This window comes from Homo sapiens, chromosome 14 (assembly GCF_000001405.40).
Source record: "Homo sapiens chromosome 14, GRCh38.p14 Primary Assembly".
In the NCBI taxonomy this organism is placed as follows: Eukaryota; Metazoa; Chordata; class Mammalia; order Primates; family Hominidae; genus Homo; species Homo sapiens.
The window spans coordinates 32,588,481-32,611,561 of NC_000014.9; the positions used below are offsets into that span (position 1 = coordinate 32,588,481).

The window sequence follows — 23,081 nt, forward strand, 5'->3', positions numbered from 1 at the left end:
TGTCCACTTCAGGGACAGCTTTTTCTCTAAGTCCTGAAAAATGAGTGGCGTTTGTGTGTGTATGAGTTTTGAGGCCATGTTTATAGTAGTAGACTTTTAAAACACACCTTCCTGAACTTTGTTGTTCCTTTTAAGATTGATGCCTGCAATTTTAGGTGACTGCCACATGGTGGCACAGAAGCACCAAATTCCTACAGACAGTGCTTACAGTCTTGGTATCCGTGAAGGGTTTGAAAATGTTTCCTTATTGTGTCATTATACTAAATACTTATAAAAACAGATTCAATTTAATTATGAAGTGTCTAAAAAAATTCTCAAAGATATATGCATGCATTTATCATCTGTATTTCTTTAGATCTTCATGTTATATCATATTTCTGATTAAACAGCTTTCGTTTGTCTCATAAGAAAAACCAATATACTTCTTACAGAGTTTTTAGCCATACAGGAAAATTTCCCCAAATACTTTCAGCTGTTTTTCTCTTGCTTGCCTTCCTGTCTCTACCTCTGCTCCGTTTTTCATTGCTTGAAGTTAAGAGATGACAGGGTTTTCTTTTTCCCACTTCCTGGTGCCCATCTCTCCCAGCATCTCCATAGGCAGCCAAGGCCCCAGCAAGTTAAGCTTCACAAGACCAGCAGCTGTCATTTGGCTGTGCTGCTCAGCTAATGGGAGCAGTGGATCAAACTTCAAAAGCATGAGCTATGAGAGTTTCACTGGACTGCCCCCACCTCCCTCAGCCTTGATGAGCAGGCTGGTGGCCTTACACGGGCTTTGAAGTCCCATTTGCTTGTCCCCCTTGATTCCCACCAGTTTAAGGGTAGTCGCAGAGAGTTTAGTGGGAAGTGGCAACATTACTTCTCTTTGGTGGACTTGGAATACCACTCAAATCCTGGCCTTGAGTTTCTTCCTTTGGTGGCACAGGGATGGAAGGGTCTTTCAGAAATTTATAGCATACAGGCATTTTGAGGTTGGTATGTGGGAATGGTAGCGTAGGAGGCTCAGTTTGGACATATGAAAGTCTTGGACTACATTCCTTTACTCATGTAACTCTAATTTTGTGCATCTAGAAGACAAATAGTGTTAGCTTCCCTTTTCAGTTAAATAGGATTCCTGCACTGTTTAAAGCACCTGGGAATGTACTTTTTGCCTGTCTCAGTTTAAGGACTCTTGGGCCATAATACCCAGTAGTTATTGTTTTGAAAATTGTTAGTGCCCAGATATTTTACTAATTTATTACTTTATTTTTCTCTTTAGGAAATAATGATTGTTTTTAATTAGAATGCCGGGGAAACACTGCATTTATTAAGCACTTCCTATTTAGGGCAGTATTATACAAAGCATTGAAGAAAAAGTTTACAGACAAGCCTCACACTATGAGGCTCCATGCACAGGCTGAAGGACACTGTGCATGGATGAGAGACTCACATGAGCTGGGGTGTGGTCACCTACAATCTCTCTCCATGTGTAGATTCATGAGCTTACCCTACTTCTCTATTGCATTATGTGGAATTTTGGAATCTTGAAATAATTCACCTGATATAAATAATATTAAGTTAAAATTCTAGATCTTTACATTAGCCAGAAAAATGCCTATTCTATATCTATAGGGTTGTTGTGAAGGTGAAATAAACATGTTTTATGTGAGGATGAGCATGCTTTTATCATTTGGGGGAATCTTCCTTAGAGACCCAAGAACATTTGGTGTGAGAAGCTTGGGTGTTCTTAGACAAGTTGAGATTCTCCCTGCCCACCCTCCCCTCAGCTGTTCTCTTGATGCTGTCACCTACTTGAGGGATGGCTTTTGTCTCTTTGGTGTCTCCCCCAACTCCTAGCCTTGCACATGCATGATAGGTATTAAAAATATCTGCTAAGGCCGGGCACAGTGGCTCACAGTGGTTGCAGTGAGCCAAGATTGCACAACTGCACACCAGCCTGAGTGGCTGGGCAAGACTCTGTCTCAGAAACAAAACAAAACAAAACAAAACTAAACAAACAAACAAAATCTGCTAAATGAATGAATGAACATTTATAAAAGCAGTGTTAGAATCACTGTGGGCAACAGATTCTAACAAATGTTATAAATCATCAAACGATAACTGAGCATGTCTACAAGTTATTTCCTCTACCATTTACAAATCAAAATGGACTTGTCACAGGGCTTTCTAGGTATTGTTTGGTATATCTGTGACAAGAAAAACATCTCTAGAGGGAAAAATAGGAATATTTTCTTCTGTTTTCAGGATGCAATTTATCGCCTTTGACAAAAAACACCAGGAATGTCTTCTCAGATAAAATGTTAACTCCGATATTTGAATGTTTTTTAATTTCAGAGGTAAATGTTACTGTTTTAAAATATGAAGACGGTATGACTAGACAGGATGTTAATAACTTGACATTACAAAATTTATTAAATTTATTTTTAAAGTGGTTTGGTTCCCCCTCTCAAATGCATGAAACATGTGGGAGTTGGAATAGATCTGCCCCAGGCTGCCAAACAAATTTTTAATGGAACTGGAGTCCTTCAGGGATTGTCCTAAATCCACATAATATTCTTAAGTCCTGGTGTTTGCACTGGGACCTGTATATTAGCAGCTGTACGTGTGAATAATATACTTATATCAATCTATCACTCTTGTGAATCCACATCTGTAGGGGCTGCTGCACATCAATTATTCCACCTCAGGGGGTAGAGAAATATTTGGGCCAGCACTGACCTCCTTTTCAATCAGGGCCTCTGGAAGTCAAATGGTCCCTTTAGACAGAACCTCTGTTTGGGAATCCATTTGGCCTAATGTGGCCATGCTGGGAAGTGAATGTGATTACCTGTGTCAGGTGTGGAGATGGCATCCAGAGAAGCAAATGAAAATTCTGTCACTTGGAGCCACCGTCAACATTCAGGATCTCTCCCTTCTATCTAATTCTTGCATAACATATTAGCCAGTCTATCAGAAAAGAATGTCAGCTTCAGTAAGATGCATCTACTTTGCACCAAAAAAAAAAAAAAAAGCAACTGTTTGTTTGAAATAAATTGTAACTTGTGTAACTTGTTTGAAGAGCTAAATTCACTTTCAAATTCTTGGAAATGTTTTTATTGTCTGAGGTTTCAGGAAGAAAGTCTCCTCAGGAAGAAGGAGGATTTTTTTGTCTTCATATCTCAGTGTCTTCTCTTTTTTTTTTTTTTTTCAAAAGGAAAACAAAGGTTTTATAATGCTTATCTTTTTGATCAAAAACTTGGAACATCTTTCTCAAGAGTACAGAGTTCTTTTATTTTTTAAAGCTTCTGCTTTTATACCTAGAGGTGTGTTACAGATTGTCATAACTGATAAATCAATGACAAATGTAGCCACTTCATTTTGTTGGGGAAATAGACAATTGTGGTAGCGGCTGACCATTTATTTAATTATGTGGTAAGTACCACATGATGAGAGGGCAAAGTTAATTGATGATTTGGGCTATCTCAGCCAGGGTACAGTTTACATGGCAATTACGCTGGGATCATCTAACTGTAATTGGCAAGTAATTTTGTAAGTGAAGGAACATGACAGCTCATTTACATGGTGTTCACTGAGTAAAATTTGGGGACATTTATCAACTACTTCCAAGTGAAGAGTGATTGTATCAGTGTCTCCCAAAATGCCACAAGCTGTTTAAAAGTTACATGGGAGGTTTTTTGTACAAATCTCCATGCATTCATTTCCCTGAACATTTGCTAGTTATGTGCTGTGTGCCAGGCACTGTCCTAGACACTGAGGATACAAAAATGAGTAAAATAAAGAGTTCTACTCTCAAGGAACTCATCTATGCGAAGCAGACACATCAATAATTTTAACACAACGTAGTATGTGAAGGTTTGAGCTCTGTACAAGTACTATGGGTGCCAAGGGTGGGGAAACCAGTTAGGTGGAAGATGGTTAGGGAGAGCTTGCTAGAGAAGGTCACACCTGAGATTAATCTTAAAGGATGCCCAGGGCTTTTCAAGGGGAAGAGCTTGCCAGGCAGAAGTGCCAGCCAGAGTAGAATCGGAGCAAGACAGCTGGTGTGAGCTGGAAACTTTAAGCAATCCAGGTACATTTCAAGGCAGATATGTAGCCTGTGAAGTTGCATTAGCTGGCATCTCAGAGGGCCCTGTAGGTCATGCTCAGGGCCTGGGTCTTATTCTCTACCCTGGCAAGCCATTGGAGAGTCTTAATGTCAGAGCTGTTTTGTAGGAAGGTCATTTTGTATAATAAAGCCACTTGCATTATTGCAGTATGCCAGGCTCCATTCTGCATGTATCAAGGCATTTCATCCTCACAATAAACCCCATGAAGTAGGTATTAACATTTCCCGTCATCTATAGATGAAGAAACTGAGTACACAGAGGTTGGCCAAAGCTACACAGTGAGTGATGGAGGAGCCAGGATTTGAACACAGGCTGTCCTGCTCCAGAGCCCTTGCTTGTCAACAGCCCCATTCTACAGCATGTCATAACTCTCTTGACACAGCTGACTGCAATTCCTTGTTTACACAGTGTCCCCTACCCCCACCCCAACACACACACACACACACACACACACACACACACACACACACACACACACAGCTGTGAGCTCTGTGAGGGCAGGGACCATGTCTATCTTGTTTATAGCCATATCCTTCAAGCTTAAGACACTACCTGCACCTTCATAGACATGCAACAAATAAGAAATAAGTCTAGTTTTGAGGAGGGTTGTGATTCGAGTTGACCTGGCAAGGGATGATGATGAAAGCCTGAATCTAAGGCAGTGTCAGTCAATAAGGAGAGATGAAGAAGGGGAAATAAATGGTCAGGGTTTGTTGATTGATTGGATGTGTGGGTCTTGTTGGAATATTCTCACAGTGCTTCTGATTTCCAACCCATGCACTGGAGGGATGACTTGGCAAAAGAATGTGAAGCAGTGGGAAGCTTACACTGCTCTTCACAGAGCTCTTAAATTCCTTACAAGAAATGTTGCAGACTCAGGATGAGACATTAGAAGAGACTTCCCTTGAGGTGGTTAAAAATAGAAGGGACACATCTGCCTGGGATGGTTGAGAGACAGAGCTGCCCTTGGGTAGATGAGTGGTTAGATAGCCTTTGGGATTCTTCCCCTTTTGAAAATGCTCTGATTTAAAATAAATCAAAATTCTCCCAAGCTGCCTATGCTTAACTGCCTGGCTTAGAGAAGATAAAACCAAAGTGTTCAAGGGCTGGAAAATATTGAGTCCAAATGCCTGGATGATAAATAAGGAAATAGAAGCCACGGTGGGTTAAATGACTCATCCCAGGGCACACACTTGAGGCAAAAGGAATACCCAATCATTGGATTATCAGTCTGGGCTTGCTCTTCCCCATGTCTCATACAGCAGCATTTATGTTTTGGGGGGTCCTCTGTGGGAAGGCCTGTGCTGGGTAGAAGCACACAGCAAAGGAAACCTGGTATCTGCCCTTGAGGAATTCAGAGAACCTCAACAATAAAGAACCCTTATCACCTGAAAATGTCACAAAGTACCATCTATTACGTAGACTATTTGGAAAATAGAGAAAATGAATTTTAAAATTCGTAATGATTTTTTTAGCCTCACTCATTGCCTGGCACTGCTTTAACGCTTTATATTTATTATCTCCAATTCTCCGTGTTTTAATGCTTTACATTCATTATCTCTAATTCTTACAGCTGCCTGCAAGTTAGATAGTATGATTTCCATTTTATATTTCAGAAAACTAAAGCACCCAGAACTTGTTCCATAAGATCAGACCATGGTAACTCCAAGTTCAACCCTGTACAAATTATATTAACATTTTGTTGTATTTTTTGCAGTCTTTTTCTAAGTACTAAGACTATTTACTTACATATATGTAATTTTATCATAGATACAATTTGGAATCTTCATTTTTTGTGGCATGTTCTATGTATTTTCCATATGATTGTTTAGTCTTCATTTTGATGGCTATCTAATGTCTGATCAAGTTTTCAGGAGGTTCTTAAATGCTTACTCATAGAAATCTTCCGATTCTTGGTATATATGGCATTTTAAAGATATATTTTGAGGACTGGTACCTCTGCCCATCCTCTTTGGATGGCATTGTGGAGAGGAGAAGAGAAACTACACAGAGGATCATGGCTTTCTTCTCCCCCAGGAGCCCCTCTGAGAATGGAGAGTGGTTCTGGGCACAGCTCAGAGTGGAGCCTGGGCAGAGATGGCCTGAGGCAGATAGCAGGTGACTTTTCAAGGCTTGGCTTTTCTGACTGAACACACATTCTTCCTCCTGCCCTTGTAAAAAGGCAAGTTTTCATTTTCTTAGGGTAGTAAAAATCTTTTGTGTGAAGAAAAAGTGTCGTCAAGTGTCTTATTCATCAGCATATATACCATCTCTTTAAAATGACAGTGGGAGTAAAAGTTCATCAGTTCAATATGTCTTTCACATTTGGAGACTCCTGACTAATAACCTCTGGTATTTATCATCAGAACAGCCAAAGAACTAAATTCTGGCACATGCTTCTCTCACGCACTGAGAAAAACTTAAAAAGACAGAAGATTTTCTCCATTTTTTCTTCTATTCACTTAGAAGGAAAAGCATACCTTTTTTAATTAAAAAAAATATGAGCACGCAGAAACATCTGGCCTGTATTACCACAGCAGCTTCCTAAATGGCTTCCTTGTCTCCAGTCTGCCCTTTAAAAATCAACACTATATGCAACAGCTAGAAAGATTTCTAGATCACAGATTTGCACCAGCCACTCTCCCATGTCACTGGCATATTCTTCCATGACTCTTTCATGGTTCTTGGGGTCAAGTCCTGTGTAGCCATAGCTGCTGTCTCTCCTGCTTGCACCCTGCCCCAGCCACACTGAGCTGCTTGTGGCTCCCTGCTTCATGCTATAATGTAGGATTATCTTCAGGCCCGTGTACAAATCAGTTCTTTCTCCACAAGCTCCCTGCTAGGCTCTGCTGAACCTGGATCCCAGCATGGGCTCCCACAAACCCTATCCAGCTATTATACAGAATATAAACTTCCATCTTGTTTGTATTTTATTTTATGTTAGAGACACAGTCTTGCTCTATTGCCCAGGCTGGAGTGCAGTGGTATGATCATAGCTCACTGTAACCTTGAACTCCTGGGCTCAAGCAGTCTTCCCGCCTCAGCTTCCCGAGTAGCCAGAACTATATGTGCATGCCACCACACCCAGCTAATTTAGCCTTGTTTTTGCTTGGTCAGCATAATTCCTATATAAAATTTTTTAAAAAAACTTGAATCCCATTGGGCAAGGCATATCACTGTTTAGTTTGCTTAAGGCCCGACCACTCTGTGTTATACACTAAACCCTAATCACACATTTATTCTACGCTGGGTCTTATAAAGCTACTTGTTTTCTTATCTCCTTTACACAATAGAATATAAGCTGTTTGAGGATAAGGATTGTGTATTGTTAACTTTCATATCTATAGGCTTGACAAAGACTACTCAATAAATATTTATTATATGAATTTATGTCTTATAAAAAAACAAAAATTAGACCAGAAAAGACTCTCTTTTTGGCTTTTCTGCTTGTTCATGAACATCACAAGACTAATGGAACTCAGTGCACCTGGCAAAACTAACAGTATTTCCATCAGGTGATCGAAAGTCTGTGTTCGTGATTTGATACTACTAAGATTGAACCACTCTGGACATTTAAGCTTTTGAATGTGCTTATGATCTTTCCCACTTTTTCTTGTACCAGGATATCTGTTTCCATCAAGGCGTATATTTCCTTGGTTTTATGTCCACATGACTATCCAACTGGGCTATTCAGAAATATGAGTGGAAAGGATTAGACATATTATTTTATCTGCTTTGCAAATCTGATCATGACCAAAGTACAATCAGTGGGAATTCTCAAAGTTTGGTCCTGCCAATAAGTAGTACATCCAGATATATGCAAGCTGGTGATGCTAGAGGTTATAGTAATAGAAATGCCCATTGGTGAATCTTTGATAATCCTGTGCTTGTTTCAGTCATCATGTTTTTCCATTTCCTTAGTTATCCTTTTCTAGTCATTCATCTACGTGCTGCTTTAAAGATGCTAAAAAAGACCTGGTGTCATCCAGGAACCAGATTACTCATATTTATGGAATTTCATATAATCAGTGCCATAGGACCATGGTACGTGCCTATGGCAATATTCTTGCCATAAATTTGTTCTTCAGAGAATGCTCTGCATTTTCAGGGAGTGCTATGGATATTGCAGAGGGACTGTACACCATAGGGCATTGCTGAATAATGGAAATGTGTTCAAGTATCAAGTTTAAGGAAAGAACAGCAACAAAAAAATAAAACCCTTTCATCCAAGCTTCCTTCCCTTGGGAAAAGGTGGGGACAAAATGGCGAGAGCTTATTATAGAATCCTTTAGCAGCCAGAAATTTCATTGACAATTTTGTTAATGTGTCTGCTCGTCTGCCTTCTCAGAGGCTCATTGTGAATTCCTTAGTTGATATTATTAATGGTTAATGGGTGCACCTGAAAATCAAGCAATATTGTACCATTTGGGTAATAGTTATGTTAAATGGTTCTTTTCTACAGCATCGAGCTTATCAGATTATCTTTTTCCTAATAATGAATACCTCATCTTTTCCAATTTCCTAATCAAATGCTTCCATGTCATCTTGAAGCAGAGCCAGTTCCAGCTGCATCTATTCTATACTCTTGGCTTCAATTATATCAAATTATTCAACCTACTTACGGTTCCTTAGATTCCCATTTGCTCTGAGACATAGACATCATGCACCTCTTTGGAAGCTCATGATTGCCAACTATTCAAAACAGGTCTATTGTAAGTAAACAGTGAATCAAAGAGAGCCCTAGGCTAAATTTACAGTTATGAGAAAATTTCTACAATAAGTTTCTTCCTAAATATTGGTGCTCTTGGGTGATCTTAAGTGTTCTCTTTACCCTGTCCCTGCTCCCTAAAACACACATGTATCTCATTCTGCATGGCATTGCTTCAGAGTTGAGGATGTCCGTGGCAGTGGCAAAAAGTAAGTGCAGGCACGTTTTGACTATAAAATAACAAACATTTAATTTTTCATAGGTAATATATAGTTTGGATTGATCAGAAGTATGAGGCTTCCCATACATTGCCATATTTTATTTTATTCAACCAGATACCTGTGGCTAAAAGAGGACAGTACAAGAAATAGTGAACAGCCTTGGGGAAACCTGATATTGTCACTTTCTGTTATATTGGCTGCTGAAACTTTATTGTATCTTATGCCTCTAGTCAGATGAAATGATTCATCATTCTGGACTCATCTTTTAATAATGACTTACAATTATAATAACTTATAATTCTTATCTTTATACTTCAAGGCTTGATCTGCATATCTCTATCTCCTTCATTTCTAGGTTCTTTTGATCATTGTTTCAGTATTCTGAACTTTAAAAAGATCCATTTTCTCTGCTAAGAAAAGGAGAGTTCAGACTCACCACTGACCACCCAGGATGACTCAGGCTACACTTCATTCTCTAGTAACATGTTCAGTTGCCCTTTGGGGCCAGAGGCCGTGCTTTATATTCCCTAAATCTCTATTGCCCAGCACAGTGTATAGAATGGGCACAGTACATAGTTTCTAAGTGGATGAATGAATGAATACATGATTTCACAATTTATGATTGATTTACTTCTTTAACGCAAAATTATATTTTACCTGGAACTGTATCGTTTCAAACTTCTATCAAATATTCTTAATACCAAGTACAGTGCAGTGCAGACCTTCTCAATAAATGTTTAGTGAGAGCAAACATATATATTTTGGAGACTTATCATGGAGATGCCAGAATTTGGCCACACAGTATTTCAAAATCCATGCTTGCTCCAATTAGTCAAGAAATGAATTTTCACCCCCCAAATTAACCATTGGTTCAATAGATTGGTTACTGTGATTACTCTCCAGTAATCACAGAGATGGAAAAATCTTTGGAAAGCCATCTATGTTTCTTGAAATATTTAAATGGAAACCTTCCCCTTCAGAGTGTTATTGTTCAATGGATATCCACAATTCCTGCAAACATCTATTGAACAACTTGTATGTGACATGAATTGGAGATAAATGTAAAACTGGCAATTTTTCAAATTACTTATAATTTGGTAGCCAAGGATAGAAATAAAGCAGCATATAGTAAGATAAATTTTACAATAGAAGCAGATATAAGGAGCGGAGAGGGGGGAGTAATTAATTCCACATAAAGCATTAGGGAAGGCACCCTGAAAGAAATGGCTCTGAGTTAGATTTCAACTATGACAGCAGTTTTTGTCTTTTGGATAACTATCATGAGTGAAAAATGCCGGATTGTGCTTGATGTATTTGTTTACAAGGCAGTGTCATATTATAGGGAATAAACTTTTAAAAAGCAAAGATCTGAAAGACATTTAACTCCTCAGTGCAACACCTGAATCTCCAACTGTGTTCTTTGTTGTGTGATATCTGAGAAACAGAACTGAATCAAACCCTACTATATTAATGGATTTATATATGTGCACATAAGGCTAATATATTTTATGCTGCCAATTTTTTATGGTTTCATAAATAGTGCTATCACTAACATTTCTAAAAAATGAAGAAAAGAGCTCATATGTGCTAGCAGAAATTCAGTATATTTTATAGAACACTGCTACTCTTGATATAGCCTACGGGATGTGACTTTTCATAAAAACCTAATGAATTTCTAGATTTGTCAGCTGTTTCCAAACAGATGCACTCAGCTAATCTAATGGAAACATTTTGAGCCCAGATCCCAAATATCAATAGCTTTTAGTATTGCAAATTAGTTTGTCTATTGGGTAAATTGGGCTGTGTGGTTCTTGATAAAAAGTAGCAAGTAATTTTATATGGATGTTTTATGTGTAACTGCCTTGCCAGGGTTTAATGTTCATATTTTTCCTTGCAGAGTTTTAAGTTGAATGTAGACAGTCATTGTGCTCTCAAGGAAGCTGTGGAGGAGGAAGGACACCAACTTCTTGAGCTTATTGCATCTCACAAAGCAGGTAAATCCTCCTGAAATATTGCAAGTCTTTACGTCTCCAGACTATTAAGAATGAAGAAGCATTGCTGTAAATTACTGCATATATTCACTTCCTTATGTATTATTAATATTTACATTATCAGATTGACCTTCAAGATTTATAAATGTTTCATATACTGCATACAATGCTGTGATACTTATAAGATGAAATACTGCCTCCAAATGGTCTGTTCATTTTATTTTGGGCTGCCGTTTGCCTGAGTTTCAATTGAAATTACATTCTTGAAAACTTCACATTGACATGCTTTTTGATGTAGGTGCTCTGGAAATAACATTAAGACAATGAATGAGAACTGTATATATAGTTATAATGCATACGCATTAGGGTACTTATAGATATCATTACAGATATAAGGCAAGCAGTCTAAATTATTTCCCTGCCGCTTCACACACAAGAACATTTTGCATGTTCTTTGCTGGTCTTTGCATTAGCAGAGTTTTTGGCCTTCAACCAATTCTTACCCCAGTATTAATATATTTATAAGGAACAGATTATAAATAAAAAATAGTTTTGTCATTTGGTTATACTTATCCTGATAATAGAAGACTGTAAGACAGGATACTTACAGTTTGGCTCTAGGTTTGAGCTTAGCACAGCTAAATAGGAAAAAGACAGTATTAATTGGATTTACTAATGTTAAAGACTGCCGTCTTAATTCTGGCCTATTTACTGTATTTCTCATTGAATTGACTTTACCTATTTCCATAGACAATTTTTATCATTATAAAGTCTCTACACAGATACACACAGAGCCTTTTATTTGGAATGTGAAACTGTAATGTTATTAATTTTTATACATTGTGATTTTTGTTCCTCATGTATTTTTTTAAGTCAATATACTGAGTCTAAATCAGTTTCCAAGCCAGTCATCTATGTGGTTATCACATTTTTGTGTCCTTATACCTCATGTTAAGAATTGCCTGTCTCTATTCTGAGTGACAAATGCTGATATGGCAGGTGATGGTAATGGTCATTTAAAAATATTTATATTGTTTAAAATAGCCATCTAATTTACTAAATAAAAATAATGAGTAAAGATTCATTCAGGCCCACAACTTCTGCTTTCCCCTCCTTTTGGAGAAGGACTGAAGGACATGCTGCGGATGATTGCAAGTCAATGGAAGGAGCTGCAGAGGCAAATCAAACGGCAGCACAGCTGGATTCTCAGGGCTCTGGATACCATCAAAGCCGAGATACTGGCTACTGATGTGTCTGTGGAGGATGAGGAAGGGACTGGAAGCCCCAAGGTAAGTGGCTTGAAGTTTGCCTTATTTCCTCTTATTTCTGTCTTCTTTTGAACTAGGCACCACTGAAGTTTTCTTTCCAACCCTAAGGCTTTTTGTTTCTACTGGGTAAACTTTATATCTCTCTCTATATATATATAAACAAAATGAAATGCCTTAGTTTAAAACAATAAAGCCTTCAACTTCCAAGTTTTCCAGGAAGAGGTCTTTTTTTGAAAAGTGGCAGGGTAGGTGGGGGACAGTACTTTAAGGGTGAGAGAAAGGGGGACATAAAACATTTAGTAAACAAAACATAAAGCATCTTTAACATGAATAATCAGAATGGTTTTAAATTGTTTTGTTGCAACTATAAATCACTATAATCAGTGCAATCACTCAGCTCTGACATCCATTAGCCGCTTGGTTACAGCAAATTAACAAAGAAGAGAGAAAGTGATTCATTATCTCATTCCTGTTAATGACTATCAGATGCATTGCCTAATTAGGGGATGGTCATTGTAGTGGGAAGAAGGTCATATGCTTTGCTACAAATCTTTTTGCTCCAAGTGTGAGTTCTCCATAATGGTACAAGCACCGAATACAACAAGTACTTTAAAAATGAGTACTGATGTGTTTTGGTTATTCATTTTAGTTGTCCAAAATAACCCATAAAACATATGCAATTGAACTTTAAATGAGGCACCTTTTGATACAGACTGGCACTGTTCTAAAGGTATCTTTGGGCTCATAATGTGGAAAATAATGTTATTAATTTGATATTTTCGTGTAATCACTCCTTTCTTTTGCATCTGCTCCTTTGTGGAAGTAAACACAGAAAACCTGCCTCATAATAAATCCAGAATAAAACTTATTGTAACATGGGGGAAACATATTTAAGAGTTCATGGTTTTTATTCCTGGCTTGGACAAAGTAAGTAAATCATCATCAAGTCACATTTATTCAGCATCCATGTAGATTGGCATTGTGCTAAATGTATACACAGCAAGTTAAACAAATACTTTGCCCTCTTAGACTCACATTTTTAAATGCAGGCAGAGGAGAAACCCATCCAGCCCTGCAATGTTGAGACCCATGCAGCCAGTGAAAAGCTCAGACAATTTACAGCTTTTGAATCTCAAACAACGCCTTTAACTTATTTGTTGGAAACAGAGGATAGAATGATGAGCTCAGTTTCACTTAAAGAAACCTCCATGAAGAAGGTTGCATTTCAGGAAGTACTTGAAGGAAGGAGGAGAGGTGGCTTGGCACATGAGCACATATTTTAGGAAGTGATGTGATGAAAGGATCAAAGCTGGAACTAATAATGTAGAGTGGAGACTGTATTCAGCACATTTCTCAGGGCAAACTCGGAGCTATTTTAAGGAGTAGGCTGTAGGGAGAAGTTCACTGGGCTAATGCTTTGGCTGTGTGTGGAAGTAGGGAGAGGAAAGATGATAAGAAACGACACAGTTAAAAACTTGTTGTAGGAGGCTGAGGCAGGAGGATCACTTGAGGTCAGGAGTTTGAGACCAGCCTGGGCAACATAGCAAGACCTTATCTCTGCAAAAAGTGAAAGATGAGCCAGGCATGGTGGCATGCACCTACAGTCCTAGTTACTCAGGAGGCTGAGACAGGAAGATTGCTTCAGCCCAGGAGTTTGAGGCTGCAGGGAGCTAGGATCACACCACTGCACTCCAACCTGGGCAACAGAGAGAGATCCTGTCTCTAAAAAACAAGTCAAAAATCTTAATTTTAGCTGGGTATGGTGACATGCGCCTATAATCTGAGCTACTCAGGAGGCTGAGTTGGGAAAATCACTTTAAAAAAGCTTCATTGTATTTTGTTTATTTAACAAGAATACACTGAGGGCCTACTTTTTAAAAGCTATCCTGTGTTGGCTACATTTTACATGCCAGATGCTATTCTATAGCACTTCTGTATTATGTCATTTAATTATCATGACAAATTTTTAAGTGGTTCTATTTTAATCCCCGATGGAGAAAAGGAGGGCAAAGAGAGGTTAGGTAACTTCCTTAAGGTCGCACAGCTGCTAAGTAGCAGAGCTGGGAGCCCTTTGATCGCAGAGCCCGTGTTCATCACCACCTAGCATACTGCCTTTCACTGGCACTGCTCAGGGCCAAGTGTGGGACCAGGCGTTAGAGATGAACAGCTGGCTTCCGTGCCTGTCTCATGAAGCTTGTGGTGAAGTGTGAGCAACAGATTTTAATAACTGCCTTTACAGATTGTGATGTGCCGTGAAAGGAAAGAAAAGGGAGTCACAAGAGGTTGGGCCAGGAGAAGTGATCTAGATTAGGGTATCAGGGAGGGATTGTCATTCTGTGAACAGGCCAGTGTTGTTAGAAAGGGAGAAGTGTGCAAGGGAAGCTGGGTGCCCTGTTGTTGGACAAGGGGAGGCTTTTGGAGTAAGAAGAGAAGTGACATTATTGCGTTGCACTCTAAAAACCTCTTACTGGCTGTGGTATGGGACATGAGTGGGTGGGGTGGGATGAGTGGGGCTAGGGTGGGAGTATGCCGAAGTGGACTGCAGAGATGGCACAATGACCTAAATTAATGAAAGAGCTATGTTGAAAAGGAGTACATTCACCAGGGCCAGTTTGAAGTGGACACTTTGAAATCACCTTATTGTTTAGGGAGGCATTGAGATAGAATGAAGTTGATAACACAGTGAGAAGGAGAAAGTATTATCAGAGGAGAAACATTGTCAGCATTTCTCAAAAAGAGGACCTGCCTACCCAGGCTCTTCCTCAGACCATATCAGAACCTCATGGGTGGGGCCCCAGAATCTGCATTCCAATAAGCTCTTGGAGAACCTCTATAATAGGCACCAAGAAGACCCTTTTCCTGCAGGGACTACATGATCCTCACCCAACGTGAATAAGAGAATGTCTGTTGCATTGTTACTTATAATAGCAAACAATTGGCATCAACTGAAATGTTTAAAATAAGAATGGTTTGATTAAATTATGCTAAATTTCATTCTAATGAAATGTTATGGTTACATAACCATAAAAATAATGTTTTAGAAGAGAATTGGAAATACTGGAGGATACCTATGATATACAATGATATATTTTTGAGTATCTTTGAATTTTCCAAACCTCTCAACGAGCAAGAATTATTATAAATAAAAAAATAAGAATACATTTAAAAATATAAGAATTAAAAAGTGATAAGAGGTAAAATAGGTGACGTTGGGCTAAGGGACTTGAGATATGAATTTAAATATCAAGAAGAAAAATAAATATATCTGGTTCTTAATGATTAAGGTGCCTTACTTCTTAAGAGAAAACCAAACAAAAACCCTCCACTTACATTATTCCAAAAGTGAAAATACCTTGAGTCACATCAGCTTACCAAGAATAACATTCGTGCTTTCCTTTTTAATAGTATTTCTATTCTAGAGCATTTTCATGTCACATTATGTGCACAGCATAGTGCATCTAAAAGCAGCTACAAGGAGAGGCTTTTGTAGGTATCCGCAGATGCAGAAGTTGAAGGAGGCTCTGAGAGTTTGAGATCTTGACATGATTGAGCCAGCAAAACCCCAGGCCTCTACCTCCCAACTAGTTCTCTCTCCACAATCTTGGCTGAATTTTCTCTGGAAAAATGAACTCATCCATACTCAAGGATGAATGTGAAATCAATTTAAGACAAAGAAAATATATTTATTAATTTAAGCTTAAGAAACTATGAAAAAATCAGAATGCTCATGCTTTCTATTTGTTTAATGTTTATGAACTGCTTCTTTTACTCCCTTGGGCAAACACATATAATAATAATATAAAGGCTCAGATTCTGAAGCCAGACTGCTTGAGTTCAGTGATTGGCACTTACTAGCTGTGTGTTCCTGGGAAAATTATTTAACTTCCCTGTGCCTCCGTTTTCTCATTTATAAAATAGAGGTAATGATAATATCTGCCTCAAAGGGTTGTGATACAGATTTAAAAGACTTGACATACCTAAAGTGCTTTAGAACAGCACCTAGCACATAGTAAATCCTAAGTAGGAGTAAATATACAAGACTTCATTTTCTTGTTTTATTTACAGTTCTGGGTACATGTGCGGGATGTGCAAGTTTGTTACATAGGTAAACATGTGCCATAGTGATTTGCTGCACCTATTAACCCATCACCTAGGTATTAAGCCCAGCATGCATTAGCTTTTTTTCCTGATGCTCTCCCCGCACCTGTCCCCTCACTGACAGGCCCCAGTGTGTGTTGTTTCCCTCCCTGGATCTATGTGTTCACATTGTTCAGCTCCCACTTATAAGTGAGAACATGTGGTGTTTGGTTTTCTGTTCCTGTGTTAGTTTGCTGAGGATAATGGACAAGCCTTCATTTTCTAGAGACAAATAATTTTAATAAATTATAAATAATAGACAAATATTATAATGGATCTGATAAATACTCTGATAGAGATAGGAACAAAGTGCTATAAATACACTGAGAAGGAAATAACTAACCCTACCTTGGGCTATCAAAGAACAATTTACAGGGAGGCATTCTTGTTTTAAATGAAAGGTAGACAGGATTTTTGCCAAGGTGAAAATAATGGGCAGAGAGAATAGCATATACAAAGATAGAGAGGTGTAAAAACTGTGGTGTGGCTGGAACCTGGGACCTTGTTGCAGATGATGAGTAGGCCAGCCTGCCACAGACTGCACCAAGACGTAACAATGTGACAAAAAATGATCCTTAATGATCAGTGATTTGACAATAATTCCTCCTATGTCTCTATTAATATAATCCAAGCCAGAGTGAGGTCTCTATACACAATAAACCTGAACATATTGTTTAAGCCAAAATTTTTATTGTCATATTGCAATAAATCGAGCAAGCTTAAATAGGTTACCCTGAAGTTCTCCATGACTAAAAGCTGGATTTGGCTTCTTAGCCATTATGTCAGTCCTCTTTCCATGACGTGACCTTGCACAGGTCATGTACAAATTGTGCCATGAAATGCATCTCCAAGCACAGCAGTTATGATCATCTATTTCATCTTAGACCTAAAGAGGAATTAAAATTAAAACATGATAATACATAACTCCAGAATTCATCTTAGGTTTACTTCAGAAGCTACTGGGAGCTTGAGAAGCATAATAGAAAATCTAAGGAATATATCTAGGGGGTATTTTTCTTTTTTACCTTGTTTGAGAGACTGCAGAAAAGGACTTGGTTTTAGAAATCTTGTAAAGAAGGAGGATAGGAGGAAATTCAAAGACTCTGGGAAACTTCTCCCCTAGGACTCAGCAGCATACCTTATTTGTTGTATTTCATTTTTTAAAAAAGTGTTTTCCCAGGACTGTGAGATCTTTTATACATGGAAATAGAGAATAGAATTCACCAGTTCTAGAAATAGAGCTTCAGCACTCACATCTAAGAATTGAAAATATGCTTATAATTATATATTTTTACTTTAAGATAGATTGGTGAAAGTTTATCACTTCAGATTAGGCTTTCAGTATGTTCAATTTTTTAATGGTCTACAGCTGGAGGGATTTCAAAACATAGTGAACAACACCTAACAAAAGCTACATTTTTTTGACCTTTCAAGGCAAAAAACAAAAAATCTGAAAGCAAGAAAGCATCTTTAAATTTTATACATTGTCTCCTTTAAAATGTTCTTATCTTCTCTTTCTTTACTTTTCACTTACGAAGCATGCATTATTACAGGTGTCTTATAATGGAGACCAGGATTTCCCCCTATGACTTATCCAACCTTACATCACTGAAAGCATGCAACAACAGTTCCTTCACCCTTTTTAAAGAAACAGATAAGTTTCCAGAACAAAGAATATTTGAAGATTTTATTGTAAATTCAGAAAACTTTACAGCTACTACGAGGATGACCTAGCCTGAGTCCCAACTAACATCTTCATTTCTTTAGTGAAAGGAGACAGAGAGTTAGCTGCTTTGAACTCTAGGATTGTGCTCATTTTATCTGTCTTCTTTGAGGCTCTTAGATTGAAGTCATCTTCCTTTGGAAATGGATATCAGACTATGAAGGTCATCAATGTTATCTGTTCAACAATAACAGAACAGCAAGCTTAAGGATATTCCTGATATATGTTTGCTCAGCCCTATGAATGAAAGTGTTAGATATTGGCTGAGAATTTACATCTATGTGGCCTTTGACTTGGGTATATTGCTTACAATATACCCAACTGACCTTTATTTAGATGTCAAGAGAGGGCAAGTCTAGTGTTAGCATGTGTTTTTGTTTGTTTGTTTACCAGATGCCCAAGTCTTAACCCAGTATCTATGCTAATGAATTATGGGTAACTTTCTTTAACTGAAGGGGTATAAAGGAGTCGATCTGGGGAGCTTCTTGGCAAGATGTTTTGGGTAAGAGCGCAACTGGCTAATATTTTCTTAGAATAGAACTTGATCCTGATTCTTCCACAGCATTGGTGAGACAAAGTATTGGATCTGCATTCTTTTCTTTTCTGGCTCAGAAGCTTATGTAGTTAGCATGTTCCTTAATATAAGATCTTCCGAAACAGTGCTAATGCAATCAATGGGAACTGCATTTATGTGTCGTCAGTCCCACATATACTGATGCACATATTTGTAAGGAACTGCTTGAGACACTTTGCTGTCTTCCTCATGCAAACAAGAGCACAGGTATATGTTATCGAAAGAAACCAGAAATGATCTAGTAAGACTAAATTGTGCCTAAAGTAATGGAAAGAAAAACAGCAGGCCAAGGCCTGGCCATTATTTATTGAGTGCTGACAGAGAACTCTGCACTCTGCCCAGTGCCAGGCCAGACATGAGAGAAGACATGCTTTTCTGCTTAGTGGTCTTATCATTTCAGTGTAAGCACATAGTGTAACAACTTGTCTAATGTATTTTGGGCTATCTGAGATCTAGAATAATAGATTACCTAAGATTCAGATCATCTTAATTAGGATGTTAGCAGATTGAAATGGAATGGGGTTCTTGATGCAAGCAAATGAGTAGTAAATACATTATCAATTCTACCTCTTCTGTGCAGAAATATTTCTAAAAGCCAGTATCCGATCTGGTTCCTTTCCTGCTGAACTATATAAACATAGTCCTGATTTGCAGTACCTAGGGAGAACTCTTTCTGCTACTGTGGATTTTTCAATAGCCCCTTTTTTTCGTTATCAGAAGGGCAACTTTTCTTCAAAAATATTTTTTGAAAGACAGAAACAAAAGTGAGTTACTTCTTTGAAGATCAGTGTGGTTACTAAGTTTGTTATCGAATCCAATAGAAAATAGTTTCTCTAATCTCCTTGAAGCACTTAAATTTGCATATTATAAGATGTATGGGTGGATCTAAGATGAGGAATTTTTTAATGGTCTGCCACTCTCTTGAGATGACTGAAAAAAATGGTTGGGAAAATAAAAATATACACTAGGTCAAAGGACAGCTAATGTTCTTGGTCTATATAGTGTATAAGAGCATAGCAGACCGAGCACAGTGGCTCATGCCTGTAATCCCAGCATTTTGGGAGGCTGAGGTGGGTGGACCATGAGGTCAGGAGACAAGCCTGGCCAATATGGTGAAACCCCCTCTCTACTAAAAATATAAAAAATTAGCCAAGTGTCATGGTGTGTGCCTGTAGTCCCAGCTACTTAGGAGGCTGAGGCAGGAGGATCGCTTGAACCTGGGAGATGGAGTTTGCAGTGAGCTGAGATTGTGCCACTGCACTCCAGCCTGAGTGACAGAGCAAGAGTCTGTCTCAAAAAAAAAAAAAAAAAAGCATAGCTTATTTTGTTTTTCACACTATACTTCCATTGCTGGTGGCCTTGAGAATAGAAACATTTGGCTCAGCAAGAATCTGGGAGTAAAATTCTTTGGTGTCTCTAATCAACACAGGGAAAAGTCATTGACAGGAATAGGTAGCTTACTTTTTTCCTATTTAGTCCAAGAATGCCTAATCTCTGAATCTGCAATAACTAAAGTTGAAAAGATGCTTGGTATTGTTTACAAACTTACAGTCTGTGGAAAGCAGCCATTTTTATTGGCAGATCTCACATTTTGTACCTCAGTCTGATCAATTTTAAATATAATATAGAGTAAACACATTAGAAGCATTTTGTGCTAGGTAGTGGAGGTCAAACATTTTAAAAATCTATTAATGTAAGTATTTAAGCACAAAAAAAGAAGGCAAAATACAGAATTGCTTCTAAAAAACACTTTAAAACTAATAAGTAAATTCTTTGAAAGTGTGAAACAATTACCTCAGTGTGTGACTTACACTTTTTCCTGGAATGTGTTGTTTCTGGCAGGGGAGCAGGCTGAGCTGGGAGAGCCCTGCCTGCTAAAGGGATTACTCCGCTCTGGCTTTTGGGTTTATTGAGTCATCTAGGCCTTCTTATTAAATGGCAGCTTTCAAATGTACACACACCTGCACTCAGCACCCTAAATACTCCAAATGCTTGTTTAACTTTTCTCACACCCAGAGTACCTCTCCCATCTAGTGTAGTCAAATGGCATTGAGTTGTCCACATTTTGCTTGTTCTTTCTCTTTGGAATTCAGTTGGAATATACCCATTTATGTGGTTGTGATGCTGCCAGAGACAGAGTGTTTTTTAAGGTACTGTACTGCTCTTTGCTCTGTACTCAGAGAACATTCCCAGTCTTAGCTCCCACTGTGCCTAAATGAAGGTTTATGTTTCTCAGGAAACATTAACTAGATTGGAGGTCCCGCCGGGCAGAGCTCAGGGACCATCTCACTGCAGGTTCCAGGCCATTTTGCATTGGACTGGGGCAGTGGCTTCTCATTTTTATACTCATTTGGCCTGCAGAGGCCAACACTTGTTTAGCTTTGCCTCCTGCAGAGCTCAGCAAGGTTGTGGACCTCCCTGAGTGAGAAGAGGGAGAGGGAAAAAAGGAAGCCTAAATCAAGACACTAAGACAAAAGAAAAGAGAGACTAGAAAGAAGAGAGTGAAGGAACAGAGGAGAAAGATTAAAGAACGAAGCATGTGTCCAGTGAAATGTGGTAGAAGCTAAAAAACATTGCCTCAGCTGTCTTTAGGGGCATTGGTTCCACAGGCTGCCCAAGTCTGTTTCATGGACCTTAGTGTATTCATGAGGTCTCTCTCTCTCTCTCTCTCTCTGACACACACACACACACACACACACACACACACACACACACACGTTCATTCCTTTCTCAGTCTCTGGAAATCAAAAGCAGAAAAACTTTCTTTACTTTTGACATCTTAGATATTATTGTGTAACCATTGTGTGTGGGTGTGTTTATATAACATATTCTATTAATGCGGTTAGCACTCACAACGGGCTTACTATAGTTTAGGTTCATGTAAAGCCTTTTACCTGGGTGTGCTTGTTCATTCTTCCCAACAATGCCAGGAGTCCTAACTCCTATTATTACTTTCCCTTTACTGACAAAAAAACTTAGGTTCCAAACGGAGTAGATAATCATTGAGAGAGTCTTCTTAGACACCCTCCATAACAAGGGAAAGGACAAACTTCTTAGCCCATCATTTGATTCTAGCTGCTTAGTTAAGATTTGTGTCAATGTTTTATTTCTTAATTCTTCTAGTTTACCCACCCTTTTCCAAATGTATTTTTCCTTTTCTTTGTTCTTTGCTCTTGCTCATGGCTTTTCTCATTCCCTCCATCTATACTGCTTTTATTCATCCTTAGAATAGATAAATATTTAAAATGTAACTACAACATGATGATGTAGCTCTGGACAGGATACTGTACCTCTTCTTGCTCACTGCCTAGCAGTGGAGACAGATGTGCACAAATGTAGTTCTAAATTAAGGCAGACTGTGCGATGAATACAAGAGATACAGAAACTGGGAGAGGGAACGTTATTTCAATCTGATGGGCCCTGGGAAGGCCTAAGAGAAGATGGATTTTGTGGAGGTCTCTAATATTTGGCAAAATTGGTAGTAGAAAGATGTTGGAAGGAGAGCATTCCTAACATAGGAAATAGCATGGTCAAAAGTATGGAAAAGGGAAAATATGAGGGACATCGAAAGTGAACAGTGAATAGTTTGGCTTCTTGAGCATACAGTATCCATGTGTTTATAAGCAAGAGATGAGGACTTAGTGAAAGATAGATACTGAAAAAGTTTGACCTATATACTGGACAGCTTTGGATATCAGGCTGAAGAGTTGTGTTTTACTGGTGTGCCCTGTGTGTTTTTAATGATTGAATTTGGTCATAGAAAACAGATGGCAAAGGCAGGATGAAAGAGGAAGAACTGAAAGTCAAGACAATGAATTAGGAAACTACTACAATAATGAAAGGCAGGCCGAGGCAAAGCAGTGGCTGTGCTCTAATATAAGGAAAAAAGTAAGAGTGATAGTCTGGAAGAAGAAATAATAGGATTTGGTATCTAGGGGATGGAGCCTGAGGGAAGGGTTAACGATGACTTAAAGGAATTGAGCATGAGCAGTTAGGAGAATGGTATTACCATTAACTGAGGTTGGACACATTATGATAAGGAATAGCTTTGAAAGGGAAGATAATTAACTCTGTTTAGTACAGTGACCTTGATGCACAATTAATAAGAATATCTAGGTGTGTAACCTGGGCATAGATATTTTTGTAACCTCCCCAGGTGATTCTAAAGTACAGGAAAGTTTGAGAACAAAGATTTAGTAAGGAGGAGAAACTTGAAAATCAACTCTGTGTTCTTGTGTAACAGTTGAAAATGCAAGCCTGAAGCTCAGAGTAGAGGTCAATGTTAAGGATGTAGGTTTGGTAGTCCAAATAGAAATAATAGCTGTAACCTTGGAAGTTGATTTTAACAAGAGACTA

General features: G+C 38.4%; 1 protein-coding gene across 12 annotated transcripts in view; it reads left to right on the plus strand.

The window, feature by feature from the left end:
- Window positions 1-23,081, plus strand: part of AKAP6 (A-kinase anchoring protein 6) — a 508,387-nt gene that overhangs the window by 259,183 nt on the left and 226,123 nt on the right. For 7 of the 12 annotated variants that reach the window (XM_047431966.1, XM_024449755.2, XM_024449754.2 and 4 more), the window contains 2 exons: window positions 10,930-11,026; window positions 12,146-12,312. In XM_047431966.1, coding sequence (XP_047287922.1) covers window positions 10,930-11,026; window positions 12,146-12,312 — 264 coding nt within the window. The remainder of the gene's footprint in view (window positions 1-10,929; window positions 11,027-12,145; window positions 12,313-23,081) is intronic. The other 5 variants (XM_047431969.1, XM_047431970.1, XM_047431967.1 and 2 more) reach the window with 1 other exon arrangement.